Genomic DNA, 25970 nt, shown 5'->3' with positions numbered 1-25970 from the left:
CATCCTACCCTGTGCCGCAGCCGCATCGCCACCGCAGCCCGGCAGAGCCGAGCCCGGCCCAGGCCCCTGCCCCTGCCCGGCCCTCGGCCAGTCGCCCCCGGCCCCGCCCCCGCCCGCAGGCCCCCCGCAGCGGCCGCGGCGCCCCCCGGCGCCCCCAGACCCCGGCCTCCGGCACAGAGGCGGGAGACCCGGAGCAGCAGCAGAGGCAGGAGGACTAGGAGGAGGAGGAGGAGCCGTCGCAGGATGAAGGATCGGACTCAAGAGCTGCGGAGTGTGAGCTTGGGGGTGGGGAGAATGGGGGGGCGGGACCCCAATATTGGGGGAGCGCGTGGGGATGGAGTGGGGGAGGTGCTGGGACGTGGGGGCGAAGGATGAGATCGGAGGTTGGTAGCCGGAGCACCCCAGTATCTTCAGGCGCCTGATGTCTCTCCAGTGAACCTGCATTTTGGGGACAGTGCCTGGAAGGGGTTGGAGGCCATGAAGACACAAGGGGGCAGGAGAGGTCTCAGGGGCCTCGAACACCCCGCATTCCCAGGAGGGCCCCGGGGTCTGGTCTGGGGATGGGAGAGAGTGGATATCAGGAGAAACCGGAGGAGACTGTCATCCCCTGGGCAGGTTTGCCAAAGAGAAGCATGGGGGCGGTGACTGGGCCAGGCTGAGAGTCTAGCAGGACCCAGATTCAGGGGATGCTACGGGGAAGGACACAGGTTGGGACTGAGATGCCAGCACCTGGCAGTGAATGAAGTGTGTGTGTGTGTGCACACGCGTGTGTCACTCCCTATAGGGAGGGGGCATCTCTCCGAGACAGGGAGGGAAGAGGTGGCCTCCGGAGAGAGCCAGAGGGCCAGGGCCTGAGACAGGGTGACCCAGAGGTGGGAGATGGGGATGCAGAGGAGAGGGCCATGGAACACGGGCCGTGCTCTGCTTGGGGGAACTGGGGCACCCCGGGCAGTCAAGGGCTGATGCAGGCCCCAGGTCTGCAGGCCTGAAGAGGCCCGGCTCCAAGAGTCTGGCCAGGCAGTCCCTGGTTTTGGGGGGACAGGGGAAGGACTGCAGTGGAGGCTGCTACCTGGAGGAACTGGGGAGTGGGGTTCGATGAGAATGGTTTCAGGGGCAGGGAGGACGCTGGGGTATTTGGAGAAATGACCTGGGGCCCGAGGAGGCAGCACTGACAGTCCGCACTGTGCTGGGCTGGTGGTGTTATGTTAATAAGGGTACCGGCCCCGGCTGAGCTGCCCAATGCACTGAGCCTTTACAGGGAACTGGTGGGTTGTTACCCCAGGGGTTATTACCCCACTTGACAGATGAGGAAACTGAGATTCAGGCGTGGGAAGGGACTTGTCCAAGGTCACCAAGCAAGTGGGTGGGGGGCAGACTGCAATCTGGGTTTCCTGTCTGCTAGGTTGACACAGGTCTCTGCTTTTCTGGCCTTTGAAACAGAAGTTTCAGCACTGGGGGTGAAGAGCTGTCCCCTGGATTTGGGGGTGGGGACCCAGGTTACAGACAGACGAGAAGAAGGTGTTTGGAGGCAAGTGACCGCTGTCTCTGGGGACAGACAGGTTGCCAAATGGGAAGCAAGGAGGAGCTGGTGGCTGAGGGAGGGAATTTTAAAGGTTTCTTTATTACATTTTTACTGAATATACACTCAGGCATGAGGAAAGTGACAGTAATAATAAACATTGTTTGAAGTGTTTTATGCATATTCACTCATTTTGATCCTCACAGCAATCCTATGAGACTGGTTATCTCATTTCATAGATATATAAATATCTTTTTAGATATATAGATATATGTTATCTCATTTTATAGATAAGGACACTAAGCTCAGAGAGGTTAAGTAATTAGACCAAAGTCACACAGCTGGTAAAGGCAGGATTCAAACCCAGGCAGGCCGGCTTCAGCATCGGTGCTGTCAATTCCCCTCCTCAGTTTGCAGAGCAGGCTTTCATCCGTGATGTCATTAGAGCCCCACTGACCTCCTGGCAAGTGGACGGGGAGGCTCTTTCATTTTAGAGTTGGGGAAACTGAGGCCCAGAGTGGTTGAATAACTTTCCAAAGGTCACACAGCTAGCAGGTGAGGGATCCGGACTTGAACCCAGTTCCCCTGCTACCAGGACTATTCCATGACTCCAAAACCCAGGGAAATGGAAGTGGGTTGGGATCAGGTGGTGTGGAATTGGGGTACAATTCGAGAAAGAGGGAGGGAAAAGGCTAAGCGGGGTAAGGGGGAGGCAGGGGAGGGGGAGGCCTCATGAATGAGTCAGGGGCCCCTGCTCAGAGGTAAGGAATCCTGTTGGCTGTGGCTGCCGGAGGTGGTGTGGAAGGGTGAAGGGGCTGAGTGGATGTGGTGGCTTTGGTATTAGTCACAGCTCAGGGAAACTGGAGATTCAAGAGGGGGCGGGCGGGGTGGGAAAAGCTGACAGATTCAGGTAGCGTAAGGGTCTCCCTGCTACAGTTGAAAGCAAGGAGCCTGGGATGCAGGAGACACCTGGCAGGGTGTGGGGGACCTGGAAACGGGGTCTCTGAGACACTGGGAGGGATGAGGCAGGGGCGGTGGTGGGAGGGGACATTAGCCCAGGGGACTGATTGTCTTTCCAACAGTACCTTGGCATTCCCAAGGGGTTCTCAAGTCCGTTTGTCACACAGTGGTTTCGGGAGCCAGACTGTCTGGGTTCAAATTCTAATTTTGCTACTTCCTGTGAGACCTTGGGCAAGTTGCTTAACCTCTCTGGTCCTCAATTTCTTCGCGTATGAGTTGGGAGAAGTAAGAGTGCCTGTTTCACAGGGTTGTCCTGAGGACTGGAAGTAGTTAATATGCATCAGGTGCCTAGGAGGGGGCCTGGCGCCCAGCAGTGCTGTGTGTCTGTTACCCAGCAGATGGCTTGTTTATTTCTCTTCAACACCACACAAGCCCCCTGCGATGGGCAGGACATGGCCCCTATTTTATTTTGGAGTACATTGAGGGCCAGAGGGGGTAAAAAAAACCTGACTTGTCCAAGGTCAGATAGCTTTTAATGGTTGAGGTGGGCTTGAACCAGGGTTTTCTGCGTCCAGTTTACCAGGCAACCTTGGTTGGTGCTAGGCTGGTTGTGGAGGCTGTGAAAAGGAGTTAATCAGCTAAATAGGTGTCCCAGGGTCTAAGGAGTGAAGCCAGAGTGGGGCTCCAGAGGAAAGAGCAGAGTGAGTGAGGTGGAGAGGAAGGTGGGTTATGGGAGAAGACAGGAGGGGCACAGGGAGGGCTGAGGTCTGAGACGCAGCTGTGGAGTCGGGTGGGAGAAGTGCGGAGACACCCTGGGAGGAAGGTGGGGCCTGCACTGCAGGAGCCTGAATCTGAGGCTGGACAGGATGAAGGCTGCTGAGGGACCGCCCCGTGCCCCAAAGGCCCTCAGGTATGAGGCAGGCACAGTAGGTGCTTTAGAAACGCAGCCCTGAAATCACAGGGTGCAGAGACCAACGAACCCTGGGTGATGGATCCATATCCTCCAGCTGCTCTGGGCTGCCTTTATTTATATTTAAAAAAATGTTTTTAGAGACATGGTCTTCCTCTGTCACCTAGGCTGGAGTGCAGCGGTGCAATCACAGCTCACTGCAGCCTTGACCTCCTGGTCTCCAGGGATCCTCCTGCCACAGCCTCTCGAGTAGCTGGGATTACAGATGCGCACCACCATGCCTGGCTAATTCTTTTTGCTTTTGTAGAGATGGGGTCTATGTTGACCAGACTGGTCTTGAACTCCTGGCCTCAAATGATCCTCCCGCCACGCCCTCCCAAAGTGCTGGTATTCCAGGCATGAGCCACCGCGCTCGGCTGGCACTGGGCTTCTTTCTGCTATCCAAACACACAAGTTTACCCCTGTCCAAGGACCTTCGCGCATGCTGTTCCCTCTGCCCAGCATGCTGTTCCCTCTGCCCTGAATTCTGTTTCCCCAGCACTGTGGCACAGTTGGCTCCTTCAGGACCTAGCTCAGATGTCACCTCCCCAGAAAAGCCCTGCTAACTGTCCTGTAGAAATCCTTCCACAATCCCCCCCAATTCCCATGTCTCTCAATTCCATCTTTCTGCTTATCTCCCTCCTGCTATTCAGCACAATCTGAAATGGTCTTGTTCACCTCCCATTGTCTGCCTCCCCCACTGGAATGCCAGCTCCCTGGAGGCAGGCCCTCCTCGCCTGTCTTCTTCACCACCACATCGCCAGCAGCACCCAGAAGAGTACCTGGCACAAATCAGACACATCCGTTAGATGAATGAATGACTCCATGAAGCAGAGGGAGGATGAGAAAGGGGCAGGGGGTAAGGCAGGAAAGATGGAGGAGAGAGGTCAGGGTGAGAGGGCCAGGCTGCTCAGGGGGAGGGAGCAAGGAGAGGCCCCAGCCAGGGAGACAGATGGACTGAAGCAGAGGGTGGGGGAAAGGGCGCAGGGGGAGGCTGCTGCCTCCGATCAAACGATGATGCTTGCACCCCTGAGGAGCATGGGAAGCCCGTGTGTGTCAGTGCTGGGGCACGCATATGTTTACACACACACACGTACACACACGCACACTCTCTCTGACTTTTCTGTCACCCAATTCCAGTCTCTTGCCGCCTCTGTGTTTTTGTCACCGTCTCACCATCTGTCTCTCTGGTCACTGACTTGCTGGCTCTCACTGTCACTCTCCTCCTTCCGCTTCTGTATCTGTCCTTGCCGTCGCTCCACATCGACATACACACAAGGCCCGTGGTGGCTCTGGTGTGGAAGACCTGGACTTAGGGGGCCCCTGAGGAGGTCAGGCTGCAGCTGGAGGCTTGGATCTGATGTGCGCAGTCCCCAGGTGCTTCTGGAAGGGGCTCAGGGGCACTGCACTCTCTCATTCAATCCCTCTCAAGTGCTCAAGGAGCTGTGCGCTGTAGAGCAGAGTGCCTGAGTTTGAGTCATCCCATCAGCTGTGTGATCTTGGGCAAGTTACCCAATCTCTCTGCGCCTCCACCTCCTCATCTGTCCAGTGAGAATAAGAATATGACCTCATGGAGTGGTCGTGAGGATTAAACAAGAGATGCAGGCTGGGTGCAGTGGCTCACACCTGTCATCCCAGCGCTTTGGGAGGCCAAGGAGAGAGGATCTCTTGAGCCCAGGAGTTCGAGACCAGCCTGGGCAATATAGTGAGATCCCATCTCTCAAAAAAAAAAAAAAAAAAAGGAAAAAGAAAAAAAAAGAAATGCAAAGCACTTGTAATAGGACCCAACTCGTGGTAATCAGCACATATATGTTACATCCTCGATTTGCACATGAGGCAACTGAGGCTTGAATCGTTCACCTGTAACCTGAGGCCACCATAAAGTAGACTGGGGCACATTTGATCATCTTTTCCTAGGTAGTCTGGTTTGCCCACAGCCTGCTTTCTTTTTGGCTGGCCTAACTTCTTCCAGAAATGGATGCTGTACTCATTACTAAATATGCATCACTCAGAGCACGGAGGGCCCTTCAGAGCAGGGTGGGCACTTGCACCAGTCTGCTCATTTCAGTGATGAGGGAACTGGGGCCCAGGGAGGAGTCTAAGTTTGCCTGGGGTCACACAGCAAGACAGACGGAGGCTGGGAGGGATGGCCTCCTGTCCAAGCTCTTCCTGCAGCCCTGGGCCCCTCCTACTGATTTTCTGTCCTGGCTGCAGGAGTTCAGCAGTCCTGAGGACATGGCAGAGTGGGCTTTTTAGGACCAGGAGGGACTGCCATCTGTCAGCAGGACAGAAGGGAGAGAGCCTGACATTTAGTGCCAGACAGTCCTGGGTTCAGGTCCTACCTCTGGCCTCATTTGCTGTGAAGCTTTAGGCAGGTCAGGCAACCTCTCTGAGCCTGTTTCCTTGTCTGTAACATGGAATCAGCCGGTGGTAGGCATTGTTACCACTCAGCAAATGCAGAGACTAGGCTCAGGGGTAGAGCCAAATGGTCTTCTAACAGCTGACCTGGGGCAAGTTCTTTTTTTTTTTTTTTTAAGAAACGGGGTCTTGCTCTGTCACCCAGGCTGGAGTGCAGTGGCACAATCACAGCTCACTGCAGTCTCTTGACCTCCTGAGCTCCGGGGATCCTCCTACCTCACCCTCCCAAGTAGCTGAGACTACAGGTGCGCACCACCATGCCCAGCTAATTTTTGTATTTTTTGTAGAGACATGATCTTGCTATGTTGCCCAGGCTGGTCTTGAACTCCTGGGTTCAAGTGATCCTCCCACCAGAGCCTCCCAAAGTGCTGGGATTACAGGCGTGAGCCACTACAACTGGCCTGAGTTATTTAGCTCTATGCCTCAGTTTCCCCATCTATAAAAGGGGGCTATAATAATACCTCCAAGGGGACTGTTGTAAGAATGAAATGGATAGATATATGTGGAGCACATAGAACAGTGCCTGGCACATTGTAAAACATCATCTAAATATTTGCATAAGTATAATTATGTTGGCCAATGGTCCTTACAGAGTCCTAATGAAGATTAAATGAGATAACAAGAATGTAAGACTTACGCAAAAAATACCATCAAGTGCTCTTGTTTTGCTAGGTTGTCCGGACACAGAGCCTTCCCCAGATTGGGACTTAGCAGGCGCTCACTGAGAGGGAAAGTAACTGGGAGCGGAAAGTCAGTGGGGGAGGTAGCCCAGTCTGGAGCCTAACAGCGGTCTTTGAGGGGCTGGATGCCCATGGTTTTCTGGCCCTATGTGGCCTGGGTGCCCTTGGGCAAGTCACTCTCCTTTTACCCCCCTGGCTTCCTGTTCCCTCATCTGTGAAATGGGGACGATGATGTTTATGCAGCTTTTCTCTCAGGGCTGGTGGTGCTGAGGATCAAAACGGATTATGGATGTAAAAGTGTTTGTAAATGGTAGAGGATTATTAGCTCCCAGCTCTCTTTGTATTTATTATACCAAATAAACCACACTTGGGCCTTCTATCATTCTTCCTGTCTTGAGGGCAAACAAATAGGTAGCCCAGGGTGCTCCAGAGATGAACCTAAGGGAGGTGGCTCCAAGAACAACAGGAGAGATTGAAATTAGATTTTAGGAAAGACTTCCTAACATTAGCATGGGGAAGGGAGAGACACAGAGAACAGGAAAGTCCTCAGGCACCCGGGCCAGGGAGAGGCCGCATGACCTGCGTGAGGCTGGTGGCTGAGTGAGTGGTTGAAGGGAGAGAAAGGGCAGAGGAAGGCTTTTGGCTCTAGGGGAAGGAGGCCTTGTAGCACAGCTGGATTTTGAGGACAGAGAAAGTGAAGAGCATCATGGTAGGCCGATGGGTCCTCAGAGGTGAGCCCAGCATCCCAGAGCCTCTCAGGGTCCCCAACTTATGCCACCTGTGCCGCCCCACTTTCTGGGGGCAGCTGTGAGCCAAGACAGAGGAAACTCCCTTTCCAGGCGGATGGTTGGGATTGTCTGGAAATTCAACACAAGTGCTGAACACATTTTCCGACACAGTGTGGGCCCAGCGTCTGTGTGAAGACTCCCTGGAGTTCCATTTGGGCTGGGCTTAGCAGGGAGGCTGGGGTGGCTCAGGAGCGTGGAGCTGGAGGCCCCCCAGGCTGTGCTGGCTTTTCCTGGGGCTGTGGGGCACTGCTGATCCTGAGTTTTGGCTGTGTGGACTGCACCTAGGTCCCATCTGGCCCTGTCTAGGTTCAATCTGAGCTGTCTGGGATCTGTCTGGGATCCGTGTGAGCCTCGGCTAGTTCAGTCTGAGCCTGTCTGGTTTCTGTTAGGCCCTGTCTGCGTTCCGCTGGGACCCTGGCAAGCTCTTCTTTTTGGATTCCAACTGAGTACACCCCCAGGTGGATGCTGTTTGGATCCTGTCTTGATTTCACCCAGCCTCTGGGGTTTGGATTCTGTCTGAGCTCTGGCTGGGTTCTTTTTGGAAATCAGAATGAACTCTGTATACATTTCCACTGGGGCTGATCAGGGCTCCAGATGTCATTAAGCTTGATGGACTCAGATTTTGCTGTCAGACCTCTGTCCCAAGCAGAGAAGGACTCAGGTGTGTGTAGCACAGGGCACCTCCCCTACAGCCTCTCCTGTCCAGCTCTGAGTGTGTGTGCAGACATGAGGCTCGGAGAAGCTGGAAGAACAAGCCCAGTGAGCCCTCCCAAATGTCCTCAGGGGTGCAGCTGAAAGCCAGTGTGTCCACACATGTCAGTGCGGCTCAGCTGTGAGTCTGCGTGCGGGTGAACGCCAGCATCAGTGCATCTCCGTGTGGGTGTCGGGGGGGCCTATTCCTGTGTGCCTTGGGTGTCAGCTCTTCTGTCTGTGTCTCGAGTCTGTCTGTCGGTGGCAGTGGTGCTGTGGGTGGGTAAATCTCTTTGTGTCTCTGAGCCCTGCGGGTGGAGGGTTGAGCAGCTGCAGGTTGCAACTGGGAAATCCAAGCCAGCAAGAGTAGGTGGGTGTGAAGTTGGAAGGGGCTGGATGAAAGCAAGTGAATCCACTGCGAGGGAGAGCCGGCTGGGAGGGGAGGGAGAGTGGGCGGGAAGAGGGGGGCACAGGGCGCGAGGGAGGTCGGGGTGCTGCCCGTATCTCTTATCCAGCCCTCACTGCTTGCTCAACTTGGCGCCTGCCGCTGGCAGTGAAGTGACCTTGCACAGGGGACATGTCTGGTCAGGTGGGGCAGGAGAGGAAGAGAAGGAGTAAAGTGAGATCTGGGCAGGAGAGCAGGAACAGTAGGGAGATCCAGGCTCCCGGGACTCTAGTCCAGGACCCTTCATGGAGCCCAGGGTCAGTTACTGCAAGCCTGACGTTGAGCCGTTGTTGAAATATTGAAATCATCCCTATTGGCTGGTCAAGGCTGGCTCTGCGCCCCCAAGGCCACATCCACCCTGAGAGGGGGTCTTTTTCCAATTCCTTCTAAGGAATCCTTTGGGCTGACAAACACTTTTGGTGCCTTTGCCATCTACCCTGCATGGGACCCCTCCCAGGACCCCTCCTCTGAGCCTAGAGCTGGGAGCACCTGTGTGTGCATAGCAGGGAGAGGGTGGGAGAGCTGGAGAGCCAGCCTTGGGGACCCAGGTAGGGCCTGCTCATGGACTCAGCCTTCCTTGTCCCCAGGCGAAAGACAGTGATGATGAAGAGGAGGTGGTCCACGTGGATCGGGACCACTTCATGGATGAGTTCTTTGAACAGGTAATGGGCCTCCAAGGCCCCCAGCCCCAGCCCCAGCCCCAGCACCCAGCCCCAGCCCCTAGTCCCACCGCCCAGCCTCAGCCCCGGCACCCAGCCCCAGCCCCAGCACCCAGCCCCAGCCCCTAGTCCCACCGCCCAGCCGCAGCCCCGGCACCCAGCCCCTAGCCACCGACAACTTCCTTTTCCCTGTCCCCCACTTCCCTGCTCCTGCACCCTCCCTGGCCTTTTATCAGCCGTTCTGGGGCTGGTCCATTCCCCTGAACCCTGGCTGGTTCCCCTGGAACCCGTTGTTTGGCCTGACAGCTTGGCTGGGTATAGCCGATTTTCTGCTCCAGGTGGAAGAGATCCGGGGCTGCATTGAGAAACTGTCGGAGGATGTGGAGCAGGTGAAAAAACAGCATAGCGCCATCCTGGCCGCACCCAACCCAGATGAGAGTGAGTGTGGCTGCCGGTGACTGTGGGGTGGGAGGAGAAGGGGCCTGGGGTTCCCACCCAGACATCTCACTTGCCCTCGCCCTCCCCTCAGAGACCAAACAGGAGCTGGAGGATCTCACTGCAGACATCAAGAAGACGGCCAACAAGGTTCGGTCCAAATTGAAAGGTGAGGAGTACAATCCCTCAACCAGGAAGGAAAAGAATTGTGGGTGGAGCATGGTGGCTCAGGCCTTTGGGAGGGCGAGGCGGGGCCAATTGCTCAATCCCAGGAGTTCAACACCAGCCTGGGCAACATGGCAAAACTCTGTCTCTACAAAAAATACAAAAATTAGCTGGGCCAGTTTGGGAGGCCGAGGCGGGTGAATCACGAGGTCCGGAGTTCAAGACCAGCCTGGCCAAGATGGTGAAACCCCATCTCTACTAAAAGCACAAAAATTAGCTGGGTGTGGTGGCGGGCGCCTGTAATCCCAGCTACTCAGGAGGCTGAGGCAGAGAATTGCTTGAACCCGGGAGGTGGAGGTTACAGTGAGCTGAGATCGCGCCACTGCACTACAGTCTGGGTGACAGAGAGAGACTCTGTTTCAAAAAAAAAAAATTAGCTGGGCATGGTAGTACGTGCCTCTGTTCCAACTACTTGGGAGGCTGAGGCACAAGAATCGCTTGAGCCCAGGGGGTCGAGGCTGCAGTGAGCCGAGATCATGCTGCTGTACTCCAGCCTGGGTTACAGATAGAGACCCTGTCTCAAACAAAAAAAAAAAAAACAAAAAACAAACAAACAAAAAAAAAGGGACTGGGCGTGGTAGCTCATGCCTATAATCCCAGAACTTTGGGAGGCCAAGGTGGGTGGATCACCTGAGGTTAGGAGTTCAAAATCCTAACCAAATCCTGGCCAAAATGGTGAAACCCCATCTGTACTAAAAATACAAAAATTATCCGGGCATGGTGGCAGGCGCCTGTAATCCCAGCCACTTGGGAGGCTGAGGCAGGGGAATCACTTGAACCCGGGAGGCAGAGGTTGCAGTGAGCCGAGATCGCGCCACTGCACTCCAGCCTGGGTGACAGAGCAAGACTCTTTCTCAAAAAAAAAAAAAAAGAACTTTGCCATCCATTGAGCAAAACAGGCCTTTCTCTAAGGAATTTCTACAAAGTTCCAGGAGCCAGATTATTAAACAGTCAGAAAGCACAAAACCCCAGCTTTCCCCCTTGCTCCAGTTCTTTGGAGAAAGATATATGATAGGAAATGAGGGAAAGGAGACTGTCTAAATTGCATCTGAGCCCTGCTGGTTCCACCAGCATGAAGGTTCACCAGAAAAAGGTGATCTTCCGAGTGGCTTCGATTTCATTAAGTCCTCATCTCTCCTGAGCAGGCCCCCGGCATGGCACAGAGCACCCAGTGGGTGGGCCCAGCAAATGCCTCTGAATCGGTATCCTTGGCTCAGGACAGATTGGACTTGTGTGGCTGACATCAGGGGCTGGCGAGCTTTCAAGAGGGACTTGCCAAATGTTCATTTATTCACTCTAATTTAAGGACTTGGGTGCTGGTAATAACCACCTTCCCCCAAAGCACCGTGGGTTGGGAACCTCCTTGTCTGCTCATACCAGGGAAATAGCAGTGTTACTGGCATGCTGTTTTGCATGCTCCTGGTAAGTCAGTATCAGAAAACATATGCTGAGCACCTCCAATGTCCGAGGCACATTGCTAGGCTTTGGGGAAGAGGAGCTATATCAGCTACCTGGCCTGGAGAACACTGACCTTGGCCCAGAGAGAGAAGGGTAGTAACTCCATGCCCTCTGGACTGGAGGGGAGGCCATATGTGAGCCTCAGATGTGGATTTGTAAAAACAAGCCCTTTGTACTCAGGAGAGTCTGCTGGATGGAAACTGTCTGAATCTGGGAGCATGTTAAGTGCAAATCCAGGCAGACAGAGTCTAACCTCCACCATCAGCTCACCCTGGACAAGTCCCCTACTCTCAGCTTCCTTATCAGTACAGTAAGACAAATGAAAGCAATTTCAAAATTAGCTTGTTTTGGGGGTGGGGGGTGGAGGGCATCAAAATACTTTTTTTTCCAAAGTCATACAAAGAATCCCAATATATAAAACATAAAAGTCAGGTTGTTCTAGCTGAGCTGGAGCTGGGAGCACCTACCTGCCTGACCTCTCTTCATTCTCTGCAACAGCCCCTGAAATTCCTTCTCAGAAACAAGGTTCCTGCTGGCAGTTTAAAATCCCCTGGGCTCAATGGTTTCTCTAGGTCCATCAAGCCTTGACCTTGAACACTCTCTGTAAGACCCTGGGGAGGGCTCTGTGGGTGAGGGGTTCAGGAATAGACCAAGAAAGAAGCTGGAAAAGTGGCCGTGGTTTAGAGAAGCTGACCTTTCAGACCTCCAGGAAAGGAGAGAGGATTCTCTTAGTCCTCTTCCAGCTGGTGGCATGAGCTCAGGCTTTGGGTGTGACCTTGAGTGAGTGGTTTTGCCCACTGGAAACTGAGTTTCTAGTCTAAAACATGAGCTGATATCACTGAACTCCCAGGAATGTTGTAAAAAGTCAATGAGATCCTGTAAGAGACCCCTCCCTCCGGACTTGACCCCAGCCCCAAGGCTGACAGTCGGGCCCCAATCTGGGCCAGCCGATTCCAATATCCCTGGGCCATGTGTTGCTGAGCCAGAGCTGTCACTCAATCGGGGGAGCCTTGGGGTGCCATCCGGCCCCGTACCTCCCCCACTGCCAACAGAACGGAGGAGTGAGGCTCTTAGGAATGGCCTGGAGGCTGGTGAGGTCTGAGAGGGCCGGTGATTCATCCCTGCTGCATTTTCTGATCTCACCGAGGTAGATTTTGCCACAATCTCTTTTTTAGAAAATCGGAACGATAGTGTCAGGAGTGCTTGATCCAGAAGCAGGAATCTCAGTTAATCTGTGCACTTTTCCAGAACGTCCTTCAGAAGTGGGAATTCCCGGATCGGGGATCACCTTACAGGGCAGGGAGAGGGCTGCTTTCTCCCTTGGAATATCCATGTGTTTGCCCTTGAATTCCCCTGGGAAAGAGGGGCCACTAGAACCTGATCCACCTGGAGGTGACTGCCTTCCATCAGAAAAAAGGCAGGCTGTGTTCTTGCCCCCTGTCCAGAGGCTGTAGGAAGTAGGGAGCACCCCACATACATGGCCCCTTCACGCGGGCTGGGCCGGCACGCCCTCATGGAGTTGGACAGGAATTACCACTGATGGGACTTTCCAAGACCCAGTTCTGCCACTAGAACAAATAGCCCCCTTCTGTCTGGTGACCCTCTGACCCTCAGTATCCCTTCCTGCCTGCCTTCGGAACCCCCTCAAACGTCTGTTCGTCTGTTTATCTGCTGGCTCCTAACACCACCCTGGGGCACCGCTGCCCGCAACTCGCCCTGGGGATGACGTTTCTCCCCGGGCCTGGCGCTGCCGCGGGGTGTTGACCATTCGTACGCCCCGGACCCTCGCCCCATGTGCCCCGGGTCTCCCGCCCATCGCTGCGCCCTCTCTCCCGCAGCGATCGAGCAAAGCATTGAACAGGAGGAGGGGCTGAACCGTTCCTCCGCGGACCTGCGCATCCGCAAGACCCAGGTAGGAGGCGGCAGCCCATTGGGGGTCGGGTCGGGACCCAGCTCGGGAGGAGCCCAGGCTGGAGGCCGGCGGGCCAGGGCCAAGCACCGGCGGGGGCGTGGTCAGGGAGGGCTGGGGCGGGGCTCTGGGGGCGAGGCTAGAGCGGGCGGGGCCCTGGGCGGGGCTCTCGGGGAGGGCGGGGTCGAGCCGCATCTCAGCGCAGTAGCAGTGTCTCTAGCTGGTGTTGGCCTAAGATGGGGGTGCCGGGCGGGTAGGGAACCATGAACTTGTCAGGGTTTGGGATCGCGGCCAGAGCTGAAGAAGGGACCGTAAACTAATTCAGCGCTTCCTCCTTATTCCGCCCATGCACTGCCTCCTCACCTGCCTCGGTCTCTGCTCCCTGACTCCCTCCCTGATCCCTGACTACCTCCCTGATCCGTCTGTCCCCCCACCCCCACCGTAGCACTCCACACTGTCCCGGAAGTTCGTGGAGGTAATGACCGAATATAACGCGACCCAGTCCAAGTACCGGGACCGCTGCAAGGACCGGATCCAGCGGCAACTGGAGATCAGTGCGTGTGCCCCCCACCCCAGGACCCCGAACTCCTTGAGGCTGCCCAAGCCCCCTTCCAGGCATTTCCTCTCTGGAGGGGGCCCCTGGCTTAAGGCGGCGTGGGAGGGTGGGCCCCAGGTCCCCGCCCCATCACCCCACCTCAGGCCCCCAGGCTGTCCCAGCCCCCGAGCAGGGAGTCCTTTCTTCCCGCAGCTGGAAGGACCACCACCAACGAAGAACTGGAAGACATGCTGGAGAGCGGGAAGCTGGCCATCTTCACAGATGACGTGAGCCGCGGGTGGGGCGGGCTCTGCTTTTGGAAAATTTTTGCCTCCCCTCCCTAAGTTCAGGTTGAACTAAGGTCCTAAGTCCACCCTGGAAAAATGAGCAGCGGGAAGCCTGAGCCGGGAACTGGGGAATTCCATGGGAGCGGAGCAGGAAGGCACCCCCATCAGATGACGGAGTCGTTCGTGTGCCAGGCACTGTTCTAAGCACTTTCCATCTTCACATTCACCCACCAACTCATTTAATACTCACACATCCCCTTCGAGGAAACCCCATTTCACAGATGAGGAAAACTGGCCCAGAGAGATGAAATCACTTGGCAAGATCTCAGAGCGAGGGAGAGGGCCAGGACTTGAATCCTGTCTAGTTTCAGAGTCAGAACTCTCGAGCCCTAGGATACACGACATACTCTGCTACTGAAGCAAGTCGTTTCACCAGAGAACTGATTTGCCTACATTAAAAGAAATTTTTTTTAATTAAAAAAAACTTTTTTTCTTTTTTTTTTCTTCAAGACGGAGTTTTGCTCTTGTCACCCATGCTGGAGTACAGTGGCGAGATTTCAGCTCACTGCAACCTCCGCCTCCTGTGTTCAAGCGATTCTCCTGCCCCAGCCTCCCGAGTAGCTGGGATTACAGGCGCCCACCACTCGGCCTAAAAAAACCTTTTTTTGTAGAGATGGGGGGTCTTCCTCTGTTGCCCAGGCTGGTCTCAAACTTCTGGGCTCGAATAATCTGCCTGCCTCAGCCTCCCAAAGTGCTGGGATTACAGACGTGAACCACCGAATCCAGCCTAATTTGCCTACATTTTGAATATTTTTTTTAAAACAAGTTTTAGTTTTGCTTAGGTTTTGTCCCCTGTGCTGCCCTTGTCCTTTTACATATGAAAGGATGGGCTGGCCGGGCCCAGTGGCTCATGCCTGTAATCCCAGCACTTTGGGAGGCCAAGGCAGGTAGATCACCTGAGGTCAGGAGTTCGAGACCAGCCTGGCCAACATGGCAAAACTCTGTCTCTATTAAAAATACAAAAATTAGCCGGGCATGGTGGCACGTGCCTGTAATCCCAGCTACTAGGGGGCTGAGGCAGGAGGATCACTTGAACCTGGGAGGCGGAGGTTGCAGTGAGCCGAGATCTTGCCACTGCACTCCGGCCTGGGCAACAGACTGACACTCTGTCTCTTAAAAAAAAAAAAAAGAAAGAAAGGATGGGCTTTCCCCGAACCTAGTTCTTGTTTCTCTCAGTGGACTTTTGCCCCGGCCTGCCCACTCCTGTCTCCGTTTCTGTTTCTGGTGGCAAAATGACTCTGGTTAAGGGTTCTAGACCAGGTTTAAAGGATGCGCTATGACTGTCTTAAAAGTTTTCAGCTCATTGTTATTTGGAGAACTGATCTTTGTTGAAAACGCATTGAGCAGCCCGGTGTGGTGGCTCACATCTGTAATCCCAGCATTTTGGGAGGCCAAGGAGGATGGAGGGCTTGAGCCCAGGAGTTCGTAGACCAGCCCGGGCAACAAAGTGAGACCCCCATCTCTACAAAAAAAATGTTTTTTTGATTTAAAAAACAATTTCTTTTAATGTAGGCAAATCAGTTCTATGGTGAAACCTGCTTTAATTAGCCAGGCATGGTGGCGTGTGCCTGTGGTCCCAGCTACTCGGGAGGCTAAGGTGGAAGGATTGCCTGAGTACAGGAGGTCAAGGCCGCAGTGAGCTATGATAGCACCACTGCACTCCAGCCTAGGTGACAGAGCAAGAACTTGTCTCAACAAAGAACAAAAACCAAAAAAAAAAAAAAAAAAAAGACGGGGAGACTGAACACTGTCCAAACAGCCATTGTATGATTTCGGCTTATAGAATGGTCATAGGATGAGCAGGAGATGAGGGGAGAGGGAGTCTGGGCCTTGACTGCTGAAGGGAAGGTGTGGAGCCTTGGGTAGTGGGGAGCCATGGCAGGCTGTAGAGCAGAGGAGTGGCTCAATGTGGTAAGAACAGTGAGTAATTTGGGAAGTGAGTCACCTGGCTGAGGCTGGGTGTTTGTGGAGAGGAGGCATATCTGACTGTGGGTCACGGTCTCTTCCCCACTGGCTTTCTTTTTTTTTTTTTTTCAGCATGGTCTCACTCTGTGGCCCATGTTGGAGTGAAGTGAAGCAATCATAGCTCACTGCAGCCTCGACCTCCTGGGGTCAGGCAATCCTTCTGCCTCAGTTTCCTGAGTAGCTGGGACCACAGGCGCCACCATGCCCAGCTAATTTCCTTTTTTTTTTTTTTTTTTGATAGAAACAAAGTCTCACTATGTTGCCCAGGCTGGCCTCAAATTCCTGGGCTCAAGTGATCCTCCTGCCTTGGCCTCCCAGAGTACTGGGGTTACAGGCCTCTCCCTACTGACTCTTTTTTTTTTTTTTGAGACGGAGTCTCGCTCTGTGGCTCAGGCTGGAGTGCAGTGGCGCAATCTCGGCTCACTGCAAGCTCCGCCTCCCGGGTTCACGCCATTCTCCTGCCTCAGACTCCCAAGTTGCTGAAACTACAGGCGCCCACCACCACACCCGGCTAATTTTTTGTATTTTTAGTAGAGACGGAGTTTCACCGCATTAGCCAGGATAGTCTTGGTCTGCTGACCTCGTGATCTGCCCGCTTCAGCCTCCCAAAGTTCTGGGATTACAGGCATGAGCTACCTACTGTGCCCAGCCCTGACTCTTTTTTTTTTTTTGAGATGGAATTTCACTCTTGTTGCCCAGGCTGGAGTGCAGTGGCGTGATCTCAGCTCACTGCAACCTCTGCCCCCCCGGGTTCAAGCAATTCTCCTGCCTCAGCCTCCTGAGTAGCTATGATTACAGGTGCCCACCACCACACCAGGCTAATTTTTATATTTTTAGTAGAGACGAGGTTTCGCCATGTTGGCCAGGCTGGTCTCAAACTTCTGACCTCAGGTGATCTACACACCTCCCAAAGTGCTGGGATTACAGGTGTGAGCCATCGTGCCTGACCAATGTGTACATATTAACTCACTCAGTCTTCACAACCACCCTGTGAGGTGGGCAGTGTTATGATCCACATTTTCTAGGTGGGGAAACTGAGGCCAAGAGCAGGTGAATAATGTGCCTAAGGTTTCAGCTAGTAAATGACACCGGATTTGACCCTGGCCACTCCACTGCGGTGGAGGCGCTCATGGCGGAGAAGGGTGATTGTAGCTCTCTCCCTCGTCACCCTAGATCAAAATGGACTCACAGATGACGAAGCAGGCGCTGAATGAGATTGAGACGAGGCACAATGAGATCATCAAGCTGGAGACCAGCATCCGCGAGCTGCACGATATGTTTGTGGACATGGCCATGCTCGTAGAGAGCCAGGTACTGGCTCTGCCACCCATGCCACTCTGGGAGCCTCCCTGGGCCTGAGGTCCCCTCTTCCAGCCCAGCCCCCATCCCTCCCTGTGCATGTCTCCTCTGTCTGCAGGGAGAGATGATTGACCGCATCGAGTACAACGTGGAACATTCTGTGGACTACGTGGAGCGAGCTGTGTCTGACACCAAGAAAGCAGTGAAATATCAGAGCAAGGCCCGGAGGGTGAGCGGGGCAGGCGGCCTGGGGGTAGGCGGGGGAGCCCAAGGCTGAGCCCGGGCTGAGGTGAGTGATGGCAGCGGGCGGGAGGCCTTATCTCTGGCTCTGACCTCTTCCTGTTTCTGTTTTCTCTCCCCTCTTCTCCCTGCCACCCTCTGCCCTGTCTGTCCCTGCATCTGTCCGTGTGTCGATCTCTCTCACTGTCTGCCTGTCTCACTCCTCTTTCTGCTGCAGAAGAAAATCATGATCATCATTTGCTGTGTGGTGCTGGGGGTGGTCTTGGCGTCATCCATTGGGGGGACGCTGGGCTTGTAGGCCCCCCCCACCCTTCTCTCTCCCAGACCCTTCCCCCACCACATCGGGAGCAATACCCCCACCACCCCTTTCACTCCATCCCCTGCTCCAGGCTCACTCCCAAAACAGACCCAGGCAGCCCCACCCCCACGGCAGACCCTGGTGTCCCTGGACCTCACCGGGCCATGGACCCCCCCCCCGTCCCCGCACGTAGATCGCAGCAGGCGTGATTACACATGCACACCAACATGCATGCCGCCGGCACATGCTCGAGACGTGTGGACACCCCAGCGTGCGTGTGCGTGTGATGTGTGTGATGCACCAGAGCACCCCCTCCACCCCCACCTTGGGTGTGTGTGCGTGGTCTGAGCTTCCCCCTTCACCGGGGCTGTTGTGTAGACTGCAGCCAAGTGTAACACAGCAGTCCATCACGCCCTCTCTGTCCTCTGTGAACAGTGTGTGTGCGTGCGTGAGACCACAGATCTGTGGACACACCATTTGTGTACGTGGAATTTTGTGTTTCAGTGTTTGAACCTAATGCAACAGCAACAAAGCCACTGATACCTGAGCCCTTTGTGTCTGCTACAAACCAGGCAGGTGGTGTGTGTGGACTCACACTCACATTCTCAGAGGATCCAGGGAGGCCCAGGTACACACAGGCCATGGCAGACACCCCATGTCTTTGTTACCCCAGGGGCTGTGGCATGTCCCAGGAGGGTGTGCATGTGTGTGTGTGTGTGTGTGTGTGTGTCCAGGATGTGCCTGAAGTATTGATAGGTCTTCTCAGATAGAGCCCTCCACACTGTGGACTGGACACCTGTTTTGGGAGGGCACAGAAATGTGTATTTCTTGCTACCTAGAATGCAGCTGTGTGTGTGTGGCGTGCGTGTGTATGCACGTGTGTGTGTGTGTTAGGGGCTCTCTACATGGTGTGCTTTTTAATTTTTTTTTGTTTTTTGTTTTTTGTTTTTTTCGAGACGGAGTCTTGCTCTGTCACCCAGGCTGGAGTGCAGTGGCGCAATCTCAGCTCACTGCAACCTGTGCCTCCCTGACGCAAGCGATTCTCATGCCTCAGCCTCCCAAGTAGCTGGGACTACAGGCGCCTGCCACCACGCCTGGCTAATTTTAGAATTTTAGTAGAGATGAGGTTTTGACATGTTGGCCAGGCTGGTCTCGAACTCCTGACCTCAGGTGATCCGCCCACTTTGGCCTCCCTAAGTGCTGGCATTACAGGCCTGAGCCACCACGCCTGGCCTACATGATGTGTTTCTGTCCTGCCTGACCTACATGGTGTGTTTCTGCCCTGCGTATTACACACACACACACACACGTGCGTGCACACACACTTCTAAGGACGTGGCCCCATCTGGCTTTGTCTCTCCAGTTGTCCTTGCCCTGCCCCCCTCCCCAGAGGTGCTGCCCAGTGCTGGTGTGGCCACACACGGCTACATCATTGTGCAGGCAGAGCTCCCTGCCTGCCCAGCCTCAGGGCTCTGCATGCTCACACCTAGATCCTCATCTTCCTCCATGTCTCTGCCCAGCATAGCCCCGAGCCCCTGGAAGCTGGTACCCCTCAGTGTGCTCACACGTGGCAAGGCCGAGGTGGCCCCAGGCAGGGGCCATACCAGGCACAAACCATGCACGCTGGCATGGGTGCGGGGATCACACGAATGCCTCCTGGAAGGAAAGGGCTACTTGTAGGAATGTTACTGATGAGGCAAGATGCCAAGGACTTCCCTGCAGGGATCAAAGATCAGGACACGACCCCTTCCTCACACACCCACCTCAGACCTGGGAGAGGACTGTGTGTCCCCCACTGCCCCATCGGATGCTCTGGGCTCTGCCTCAGGGAACTCGGGTTTGGGGAAATGTCTATTTCAGAAGTACTGGAGTGGCCAGTGTGGCAGTGGCCACTCAGGGTGGGCTGGGTCCTGAGACCCATCCCCGACACCTCTCCTGCTGAACCCTCAGGCTGCTCCCCACACCAGGGTGTGACTGAGGGGTACACAGGCCTGGATTTCTGGTGTGAGGAAGGGGCTAGCACCTCCCCTGTTGTGTAGCCAGCACAGGCACAATTTGTGGGTTTGGTGGCAGGTAGGTGGTGCGTGGGAGAAAGGACAGTGTTAGAGGTCCCCACTCCGTGGTCTAGGATCATGAAAGGTGAACACACAAGTACACAAATGTGCCATGCCCTGGCATGGGGCTTATGTGTGCACAGGCAAGGCACTCGGTGTGTGTGTGCGGACCCCAGGGTCCCAGGTCATGTGAAGCGTACGTGTGTGTGCATTGTATGTGTGTGTACATTGTGTGTGCATTGTGTGTGCATGTGGCCAAACAGATGTGACCTCCCAGAACACAGTACCCCTCCACCTCTACCCGAGCTCAGACAGCCGAGCTCTCCCTTGTCCTGTGTGTGTGTCAGTGTGGCCACGTGCGTAACCCCAGGTGGGCTGTCCTGAGCTGGGGGCCTGCCTGTCCCTTCCCAGAACGCCCCTCTGCAGGACAGGAAGTCTGCCCCAAGTCTGGCCACGGCCCTCCTGCTCCCATCTCGGGCTGCTTGGGAGACATCAGAGCAGGCCCCAGCCCCCAGTCCCCTCTTCCGGCCGCCTGGACAGGACCCCCATTCAGCCCAGGTGTTTCCGGAAGTCCCACGGCCTTGGGGCCACAGGAGAAGGGTTGAAGCGTGGCTGGGGCACCACTCCCCCCACCTGGAGTGGCATTGGGCCCACAGCTGCCCATCTCTGGGCCTCAGGTGGACCAGGGGATCTCTAAGGGTCTGCTGTGCCCTTTCTATGCGTCCTCCACATCCTATGATGTGCCTGCTTGTTGGCTGCTGTCTGTGTGCGTCCTGGCATGTTGTCTGGAGGCTGGTGTCTTTTGCATGTTCTTGGACAAATGTGTGCTACCTGCCCAGGCGCCTGCAACCATTGAGCCCACATGTGCCCCACGTGTGCCCTGCGGGTGGTCCCGGGCCTGGCCAGGGCTCAGTGCTCCTCTTCCCCCTCCTCCCTGTTCCCACCCCTCATGAAGCACACTGCGTGTCCATCCCATGTACCCGTGGGTCGACACACGCTCTTGCCACGCCCTGAGCGTGTACACATGATGTGTTCTATGCATTCACCCTGCCCCCCAGCCCGCCCTGCAGAGGACAAGATGGGTGGCCCCGGCTCCCTTTCCCCTAACCGCCCCTGCCCGCTGTGCAGCCGTGTGCGTTGGCGTGTGTTTCTGTGTCACTGGCGTGTCACGTGATGTAGCCGTGTTTGCTGACATGAGCCCCTGCCCCCTTCTCTGTTTCTCCGTTGGTTTCTAGAGCTCTCTCCCTCCCCTTCTCAGAGGGGACAGGACTCCTGGGGCCTGGCTGGGGCCCAGAGCCAGGCCGCCCTCTCCTGTTAGCCCTCAGAGTCCCATTTCTGTTAGCCCTCAGAGTCCCATTTCTATTGGTGACCAACTTGCAAATGGATAAAACACAGGAAAATCCTGCCCCCCCCTTCCTCCCTGCATGTCCTGTCCCCAGAGCCCCCCACCCCACCCTGGGCCAGGTCAGGCCCTGTGGGACGGGAGAAATAGCAACCAATCCAACAGCGGGTGTGCCGTGTGCTCACTTCCTTCTGTCCCCACGTGGGATGGGCGCCGTGGGGAGGCGGACATGGGGTGGGGGGATGGGAGGGAGAGCTGGACAGACAGATGGACACGGTCGTGGATGAGGCTTTTAATCCGGGGTCAGCCAGGTACAGCATTGGGGACATCCCCAGGCCCAGGGCTGGCGATGTGCTGGGAAGGAACTTAGGTAGAGAGGTGGGAAGTGAAAGCATAGGGAGGCCATAGCCCTCCAGAGGGGAATTCTAAGACAGACAGTTGAAGGTGAGGCCTTTGAAAAACAATGGGAACATCACCTCCCAAAGAGGGACTGAGGTGGCTGGAGGAACCAGAGCCGCCTCTGCACTCTGCACCGAGGGTCGCGTGTGGCTGTCAGGAGAGCAGCGTAAGCCTGTGGAGCCTCTGCTCGCTTCCTGCTCAGAAAGCCAGAAGAGAGCTGGGGCAGGCCACCAGGGCACCAGACACTCACCAAGCGGCCATCAGGACTGGGATGAGAGGACAGAGGAAGGACACTCTGTCCCCAAACCCTCCCGTGTCCTGACGGCCCTAGAACTTGGAGGTGTCAGGACACAACACAGACTCAAGGCTCCTGGATTGAAAATGTGGAGGGCTTGGGCCAGGCGCGGTGGCTCACACTTGTAGTTCCAGCGTTTTGGGAGGCCCACGTGGGAAGATCACTTGAGCCCAGGAGTTCAAGACCAGCCTGAGCAATATAGTGAGACCCTGTCTCTAAAAACAACAAAAAAAAGCCAGGTGTGGTGGCGTGCACCTGTGGTCCCAGCTGTTCAGGAGGCTGAGGCAGGAGGATTGCTTGAACCCAGGAGGTTGAGGGTGCAGTGAGCTATGATCACACCACTGCACTCCAGTCTGGGTGACAGAGCAAGACCCTGTCTCAAAAAAGAAAAAGAAAATGTGGAGGGCTCTACGACAAGGACAGCCATTCTGGCCCCAGAGCCCTGCCTCCTGCTCTGGAATGCAGCTGTCCCTTCCCGTCCAGGGTGTGAGGGCTCGGGACCTGGGTGGATGTGCTGTATCTGGGCCTCCAGGCCCCAGCCCCACCGTCACTGGGCTGAACCCGTAGCGGCCTGTACCCAGAGAATGGTACGGGTCCGGCTATCCTCCCACGAGAACAGGGGCTCATAGCCGAAATGGCGCTGAGCCTTGTCGGTGCTGACGGTGAAGGTGGTGTTGGCCACGGCCAGCGTGTAGGGGTTCAGCAGGGGTGCGTAGAGCACCAGTGGCCGCAGCAGCCACTGCAGCAGGGCATTGAGGGCAGCCAGGAACACCAGCAGCCAGTAGGGCAGCAATGGGCGGGCGCCCACCAGCCGCAGTCCGCAGGGGCCCAGGAACTCCATGTTGAAATCCTCGTAGCTCCTGTAGGGTGATCCATCGTAGCAGAAGTATACCTGGCCGCCCATCAGGGTTGCCCGCTGCTCCAGCTCCCGGGCTGCCAGCACGTGCATCCAGGCAACATTGCCTGCCGGTGGCGGAAGAGAGGCGGACACACCCCTGAGTGCCCTTGCAACACCACATCGAGGCTGCTCTCCTGGGCCACCCCCTCTTTGGGCCCAGGTAGTTGCCGCCCACATCCCCACAGCAGCCTGGGAAAGGCTGCCTTCTCCCTCGCCCTGGTAGTCACTTGCTCTCCTGGGCCAGCCTGCATCTGCAAAGAACCTGGGGAGAGGATAGAGAAACCAGGACCTGCGTGGTGGGCCCTGAGAGGCTTGGGGACTGCAGGATGGAGTGGCAGGTGACCTTATTCCCTGTGTAGATGCTACTTCCTTTAAAAAAAGTTTTAGAGACAGGGTCTGTCTCTGTCATCCAGGCTGGAGTGCAGTGGTGCGGTCATAGCTCACTGCAGCCTCCAACTCCTGGGCTCAGGCCATCCTCCCGCCTCAGCCTCCTAAAGTGCTGGGATTATAGATGCGAGCCACTGAACCCAGCCCTTTTAGTGCTGTGTACACACTGTCCCTCTCCTCTCCTCTCCTGGGGAATGGCTGCTCCCATAGCTGCAATCTTCTCTGTAGCCTATGATACACTTTTTAATGTCCCAACTTGCATGGATCCTGTATTCTCTGCAGGCTGTGGAGACATAATCACAGTCTACCTTGGCCCATGTATAGACCATATTTTTCTAGCCAGAGTCCACACTTCTCTCCCAGGGCCATGTGGGTCCTGCCCCCTTCTAGAGCAAGTCCTCCTGCCATATTCTCAGCCTCCCCCTGCCTAGCCCAGTCCTCACCCACATAGACCCGGCCATGCTCCACAGAGGCCGGGATGGCCCGGAAGAGCCAACCTCCCAGGCGCAGGCCCTGGCGGTAGAAGTCCCTCATGATCTGGTGGCCTTCACCGTAGATGCCCGTGGGACGAAGGGCACACGTCACCAGGGGCAGCCCCCCACGGACCTGGTGGCAAAGGCAGGTACTGCTGAGACCTGGGACCCGACAGCTTGCTCTCGGCCCCGGCCTCCTTGGGCTGGCAGGGTAAGGGGGTGTGCAGGGCAGGAGCCCCATCTCTGCGCCTCCTTTTTCTGGGCTCACCTTCCTCCCGTTGGCCTCCAGGACCAGCCACTCGGCCAGGGCCTTGCTGCAAGGATAGGGGTGCCTGTGCACTGCTTCGTATGGGGTGTCTTCGTTGCCCCTGGTGGGAGGAGAAGGAAGACTCAATGCTGAGGGAAATGGGCTCTTAGAGGACAAGAGGGCCTGCCACTCACCTGTAGAAGGGGTGACCTTTGGTGTTAGGCCCCACAACTTCCATGCTGCTGGTGTAGACCAGGAACCGTGTTCCGGTCTGCACACAAGCCTCGATCACGTTCCGGGTACCTGGCAGAGGAGGAGGCGTATCCAAGCTGCAGCTTCTTCCCTCTCTGCATCTTCCTCCTCCCCATCCCAGGTCCAGGGAAAACCATGACAGGTCAGGGGAGGCGGGGGCAGGGCTGTCAATAGGACAACTTGTCCCAGGGGAGTCACCGGAGGTCAAGGCCAAAGACAGAGTGGGGAACAAACAGGCAAGATGGCCAGGAGTGTCCAGAGCTCCTCACCCTGCACGTTGACCTCATGGATGGTCTTGGGACTGGCCCTGCCAAACACGTCTACCAGCCCAGCCGTGTGGATGACCACATGGGCTCCGGCCACAGCTGCTGCCACCTCATGGGCCTGGGTCACGTCCCCCTGGATGGCAGTCACCCTCACAGGCCCTGGCCGGGGTTGGAGGACACAGGCCATGTCAGAGCTGGGGCCAGAGGCCAGAGGCTGGGTTCATCTTCCACCCTGGAGTCACGTTCCCAATGTGACTCACTCGACCCATCCATGTGGACAGAAACCAGCATCATCTGTTCCACTGCAGGGGTGGGGATCCCAGCTTGGGAAGGGTTGGGGAAGCGTCCACACCCTCTCCACCACAAGCTCCCCCAACAAGAACCTGTCTTCAGCTCCTCCAGCCAGGGACCCAGGTGTTGGTCAAAGACCCGCAGCTCCCCGAGCCGGGGCTCCCGCTGCAGCAGCATTCGCACCACGTGCTCTCCCAGGAAGCCACAGCCCCCTGTGACCAGGTACACCAGCTTCTGGGCCTGTGCAGAGTCGGCCATGCCTGGCTGGGGAAGAGACCTTGGCTCATCCAGGGGCTGGCTGCCACCTGCTGCAACCACCTGTTACTGCTGGAGGTGCCCTGGAGCGGTGACGAGGCTGGCGTTTGCGGGGAGGGCAGAGCTGATCCTGGGAGCTGCAGCAACCAGGCCACCTGCCGTCTGCCCCTGCTGATGGCTGAGTTACGGAGAGAGGGGCGGGCTTGGGGTGCAGGAAGGGGTCAGGGTTTAGGGAGAGAGATTTGAAGGCAGTAAAAGGGTGGGGAGGCCAGGAGTTGAGGGAGGTGGAGGGAAGGTTATAGGAAGGTGGGAAGGGCCGGATGGAGGGAAAGGCCACCTGGGCACTGGCAGCGCCTCTGCCTACCTGCAGCCGCTATCCCAGGGTGCCCAGACTGGCCTGGAGGGGCCCTCTTCTTTCGTCCAGGGCTGGCCGGCCCGCACACCGTCCTTCCGCTGGCTCCTCCTTCTCCCTCCTGCCCCATTCCAGGAACAGAGACCCGCCCAGCCACAACCCCCACCACTCTTGCCCCAAGGCGCCCCCTGGCGGCCGCTCTGTGCTCCACTGGCATCTGGGTCCAGCGGAGAACTTGGTGGGGATGAAGCTCGAACTTGCAGAGTGGGCTGAAGGGGTCTGGGGCTGTGGGTGGAGCCAGCGGTGACCTCATCCCACAGTGTGACCTCAGGCCTTCCCTCCTGCTGGGCTTCCCAGGAGGCCGGAGGTCCAGCTGCAGCTGTGATTGTAGGAAGGGGAGGCCTGACCTTGGCACCACCCTGGCGGGCACTGGTGGGGTATTCCTGGTGCGGGTGCGGCTGCTGCAGCCTGTCAGGGGGTCCGAGACAGTCTCGGACTGTCTCTGCAGGTCTGGGCTCTTGCCTGAAGGCCCCTTTACCTGCCCCACACTTCAGGTACCCACTTTTCCCTCTCTTCAACTTGCACAACCCTCCGTGCCCTCTACCCCCAACCCCTCGCTCCTGCCCAAATACACCGACCA

General features: G+C 56.3%; 2 protein-coding genes across 11 annotated transcripts, besides 9 other annotated features; one reads left to right on the top strand and one right to left on the bottom strand.

Annotated features, from left to right (window-relative positions):
• On the top strand, nucleotides 2–21384 carry STX1B (syntaxin 1B). Of its 2 annotated transcripts, none has more exons than NM_052874.5 (10): nucleotides 2–273; nucleotides 9037–9111; nucleotides 9447–9546; nucleotides 9638–9712; nucleotides 13065–13138; nucleotides 13581–13689; nucleotides 13884–13957; nucleotides 17156–17293; nucleotides 17400–17510; nucleotides 17739–21384. In NM_052874.5, exons 1-10 carry the CDS (start codon nucleotides 244–246, stop codon nucleotides 17817–17819), a joined length of 867 nt encoding a protein of 288 aa, NP_443106.1. In that variant the 5' UTR covers nucleotides 2–243; the 3' UTR covers nucleotides 17820–21384. The 2 variants fall into 2 exon arrangements, with proteins under 2 accessions (NP_443106.1, XP_016878382.1); XM_017022893.2 differs by lacking the exon at nucleotides 2–273 and adding an exon at nucleotides 8631–8706.
• Nucleotides 9152–9652: an enhancer, noted in NCBI's record as "H3K4me1 hESC enhancer chr16:31012309-31012809 (GRCh37/hg19 assembly coordinates)". NCBI's record gives its function as "activates a minimal SCP1, AML or CMV promoter by ChIP-STARR-seq in naive H9 embryonic stem cells {active_cell/tissue: H9 hESC(naive)}" and the evidence as "EXISTENCE:reporter gene assay evidence [ECO:0000049][PMID:30033119]".
• Nucleotides 9653–10153: an enhancer, noted in NCBI's record as "H3K4me1 hESC enhancer chr16:31011808-31012308 (GRCh37/hg19 assembly coordinates)". NCBI's record gives its function as "activates a minimal SCP1, AML or CMV promoter by ChIP-STARR-seq in naive H9 embryonic stem cells {active_cell/tissue: H9 hESC(naive)}" and the evidence as "EXISTENCE:reporter gene assay evidence [ECO:0000049][PMID:30033119]".
• Nucleotides 13196–13265: a silencer, noted in NCBI's record as "silent region_7407". NCBI's record gives its function as "represses an Ori minimal core promoter by ATAC-STARR-seq in GM12878 lymphoblastoid cells {active_cell/tissue: GM12878}" and the evidence as "EXISTENCE:reporter gene assay evidence [ECO:0000049][PMID:35858748]".
• Nucleotides 15106–15195: an enhancer, noted in NCBI's record as "active region_10743". NCBI's record gives its function as "activates an Ori minimal core promoter by ATAC-STARR-seq in GM12878 lymphoblastoid cells {active_cell/tissue: GM12878}" and the evidence as "EXISTENCE:reporter gene assay evidence [ECO:0000049][PMID:35858748]".
• Nucleotides 15206–15265: an enhancer, noted in NCBI's record as "active region_10742". NCBI's record gives its function as "activates an Ori minimal core promoter by ATAC-STARR-seq in GM12878 lymphoblastoid cells {active_cell/tissue: GM12878}" and the evidence as "EXISTENCE:reporter gene assay evidence [ECO:0000049][PMID:35858748]".
• Nucleotides 19313–19956: an enhancer, noted in NCBI's record as "H3K4me1 hESC enhancer chr16:31002005-31002648 (GRCh37/hg19 assembly coordinates)". NCBI's record gives its function as "activates a minimal SCP1, AML or CMV promoter by ChIP-STARR-seq in primed H9 embryonic stem cells {active_cell/tissue: H9 hESC(primed)}" and the evidence as "EXISTENCE:reporter gene assay evidence [ECO:0000049][PMID:30033119]".
• Nucleotides 19957–20600: an enhancer, noted in NCBI's record as "H3K4me1 hESC enhancer chr16:31001361-31002004 (GRCh37/hg19 assembly coordinates)". NCBI's record gives its function as "activates a minimal SCP1, AML or CMV promoter by ChIP-STARR-seq in primed H9 embryonic stem cells {active_cell/tissue: H9 hESC(primed)}" and the evidence as "EXISTENCE:reporter gene assay evidence [ECO:0000049][PMID:30033119]".
• HSD3B7 (hydroxy-delta-5-steroid dehydrogenase, 3 beta- and steroid delta-isomerase 7) lies at nucleotides 21493–25433 on the bottom strand. 9 transcript variants are annotated; one of them, XM_011545961.2, is made up of 7 exons: nucleotides 25343–25433; nucleotides 24816–25180; nucleotides 24436–24591; nucleotides 24109–24217; nucleotides 23936–24035; nucleotides 23638–23800; nucleotides 21493–22872 (listed from the first exon to the last, which is right to left on the bottom strand). In XM_011545961.2, the coding sequence occupies exons 2-7, from the start codon at nucleotides 24979–24981 to the stop codon at nucleotides 22457–22459; spliced, it is 1110 nt and encodes a 369-aa protein (XP_011544263.1). In that variant the 5' UTR covers nucleotides 24982–25180; nucleotides 25343–25433; the 3' UTR covers nucleotides 21493–22456. The 9 variants fall into 9 exon arrangements, with proteins under 9 accessions (XP_011544263.1, XP_011544262.1, XP_047290672.1 ...); XM_011545960.3 differs by having other exon boundaries at nucleotides 24816–25156; XM_047434716.1 differs by having other exon boundaries at nucleotides 24816–25078.
• Nucleotides 22107–22606: an enhancer, noted in NCBI's record as "H3K4me1 hESC enhancer chr16:30999355-30999854 (GRCh37/hg19 assembly coordinates)". NCBI's record gives its function as "activates a minimal SCP1, AML or CMV promoter by ChIP-STARR-seq in naive H9 embryonic stem cells {active_cell/tissue: H9 hESC(naive)}" and the evidence as "EXISTENCE:reporter gene assay evidence [ECO:0000049][PMID:30033119]".
• Nucleotides 25452–25964: an enhancer, noted in NCBI's record as "H3K4me1 hESC enhancer chr16:30995997-30996509 (GRCh37/hg19 assembly coordinates)". NCBI's record gives its function as "activates a minimal SCP1, AML or CMV promoter by ChIP-STARR-seq in primed H9 embryonic stem cells {active_cell/tissue: H9 hESC(primed)}" and the evidence as "EXISTENCE:reporter gene assay evidence [ECO:0000049][PMID:30033119]".

The sequence above is a fragment of the Homo sapiens genome, chromosome 16 (assembly GCF_000001405.40).
Source record: "Homo sapiens chromosome 16, GRCh38.p14 Primary Assembly".
NCBI lineage: Eukaryota > Metazoa > Chordata > Mammalia > Primates > Hominidae > Homo > Homo sapiens.
The sequence above is the reverse complement of the archived record's forward strand: the minus strand, read 5'-3'. Positions and strand labels throughout refer to the sequence as shown.